The 2287-nt window shown below is 32.1% G+C and overlaps 1 pseudogene; it reads left to right on the top strand.

The window, feature by feature from the left end:
• Positions 333-420, top strand: RNY4P31 (RNY4 pseudogene 31; annotated as a pseudogene).

The following is a 2287-nucleotide window of genomic DNA, read 5'->3' as shown; positions in this document are numbered from 1 at the left end:
AAGGATAAATATATCAAGCTCCATATATCAAAACATTACATTGTACCCCAGAAATATATACAACTATTGTTTGCCCATTAAAAATAAATTTAAAAAAGGATATCAAGGAAATATTATGAATAATTCTTCACACATCAATACGATATCTCAAAAGACATGGACCAGTTCCACAAAAAACACAAGCTACTACGTACGCACAAACATAAACACATAATTTGAATAGCCCTATAACTATTAAGAAAATTGAATTCATAATTTTAAAGTTTCCAAAAAAGAAATCTGTTGGCTCAAATGATTTCACTAGAAAATTCAAACATTTAAAGAAGAATTAAGCTGGTCGTATGGTAATGAGTTATCAGAATTTATTAACATTGATGGCATTAAAGTTGGTATACAACCCCCCACTGCTAAATTTGACTGAAAGAAAGAAGAAAAAAAAGAAGGAAGAGGAAGAAGGGAAGGAAAGAAAGAAGGACGGAAGGGAGGGAGGAAGGAAGGGAGGAAGGAAGGGAAGAAGGAAGGGAGGAAGGGAGGGAGGAGGAGGGGAGCAATTCATACAATCTCTTCCAGAAAATTGAAGATGGAAGACTTTCCAATTCATTTTATGAAACTAGTGTAGTATTGCCCTGATATGAAAACCAGAAAAAAGACAGTACAAAGAAAACTACAGACTCTTATTCCTCATGAATATAAACAGAAATATCCTTAACAAAATACTAACAAATAGAGTCCAGCAATGTGTGAAACGAATCAGACACCATGACAAAGCAGGGTTTATGCCAGGTATGCAGGCCAGTTTAAGATTTGAAAATCAGTTTATACAATCCTTCACATCAACAGGCTAAAGAAGAAACGTCACATGATTATATTGTTGCCTAAAATGCATTTGACAAATTTTTTCGTCATAAAAACTCTTAGAAAAATGCTAATAGAAGAGAATTTCTTAAATTTGGTAATAAGCATCTACAGAAAGTCTTCAGCTAACATTATACTTAATGGTAAAAGACTGAATGCTTTCCACTTAAGATCAAGAACAAGGCAAGGAAGTATGTCTGTCCTCACTGTTCTTATTCAGTATAGTGCTGGAGGTTCTAGCTAGTACTATAAGGCAAATAAAGGAGATAATAGGCATACAGATTGAAAAGTAAGAAAAAAAACTGCCCTATTTGCAGATGATATTACTGGCTGTGTAAAATACCCCAAGATATCTACAGAAACCTCCCAGAAGTAAAAAGTGAATGAACAAGATCTCAGGATAAAAGATAAGCACACAAAATCAATTGTATTTGTATATACTCACAATTAATATGTGGACACCCACACTGAAAATACATTACTATTTACAGCTGCTAAAAATGTAATACAAAGTGTAAATATGACAAAACATGTACAGGATTTGCATGCTGAAAACTATGAAATACTGATTAAAGAAATTAAAGACTTAAATAGGAGAGATATCCCATGTTTTCCCTAAATTGATTTATCAGCTTAATGTAACTCCTGTCAAAACCCCAGCAAGATTTCTTATAGATACAGACAGATTATTTCAATATTTACATGGAAAGGTAAAGGAACTAGGACAGCTAAAAACTATTCTGAAAAAGAAGAATAAAGTGAGAGGGATCTGTCTACCCAATTTCAAGAGTTAGATAGCTACAGTAATCAATACTGAGTGGTACTGGCAGAGGAAGAGACACATGGATCAATGGAATAGGATAGAGAATCCAGAAATAAACCCACACATATTACATATTTCCAACTGATTTTTTACAAAGGTACAAAAGCAATACAATCGAGGAAATATAGCTTTTTTAAAAAGTAGTACTGAAGCAATTGGACATCTATAAGTGGGGAAAAGAACTTTGGCCTAAGTCACATTTGATTTGAAAAATTAAAATGGATCACAGGCTTAAATGTACAAAAGTAAAAATGTTTTAGGAAATAACATAAGAAAAAACTCTTTGGATCTAGAACTATGGAAAAAATTCTTAGATTTGACACTAAAAACCCAGTCTATTTAAGAAAAGATTGCTAAATTAATTTCACAATAAAAAAATTTGCTCTGTGAAAGATCTTGTTAAAAGGATGGAAAGACAAATTATAGACTGAGAAAATATGTGAAAACCATGTATCTCACAAAGCACTAGCATCTAGAATATATAAAGAACTCTCAAAACTCAACATTCAAATAGTAAACAATCCAATTTGAAATGGATAAACTATATGAAGAGACATTTCACTAAGAGGGTATATAGAAGGCAAAGAATCACATAAGAAAAATGTTTAA

This window comes from Homo sapiens, chromosome 13, assembly GCF_000001405.40.
Source record: "Homo sapiens chromosome 13, GRCh38.p14 Primary Assembly".
In the NCBI taxonomy this organism is placed as follows: Eukaryota; Metazoa; Chordata; class Mammalia; order Primates; family Hominidae; genus Homo; species Homo sapiens.
Note: the sequence above shows the minus strand (reverse complement) of the source record. Positions and strands in the feature narration are given on the sequence as shown.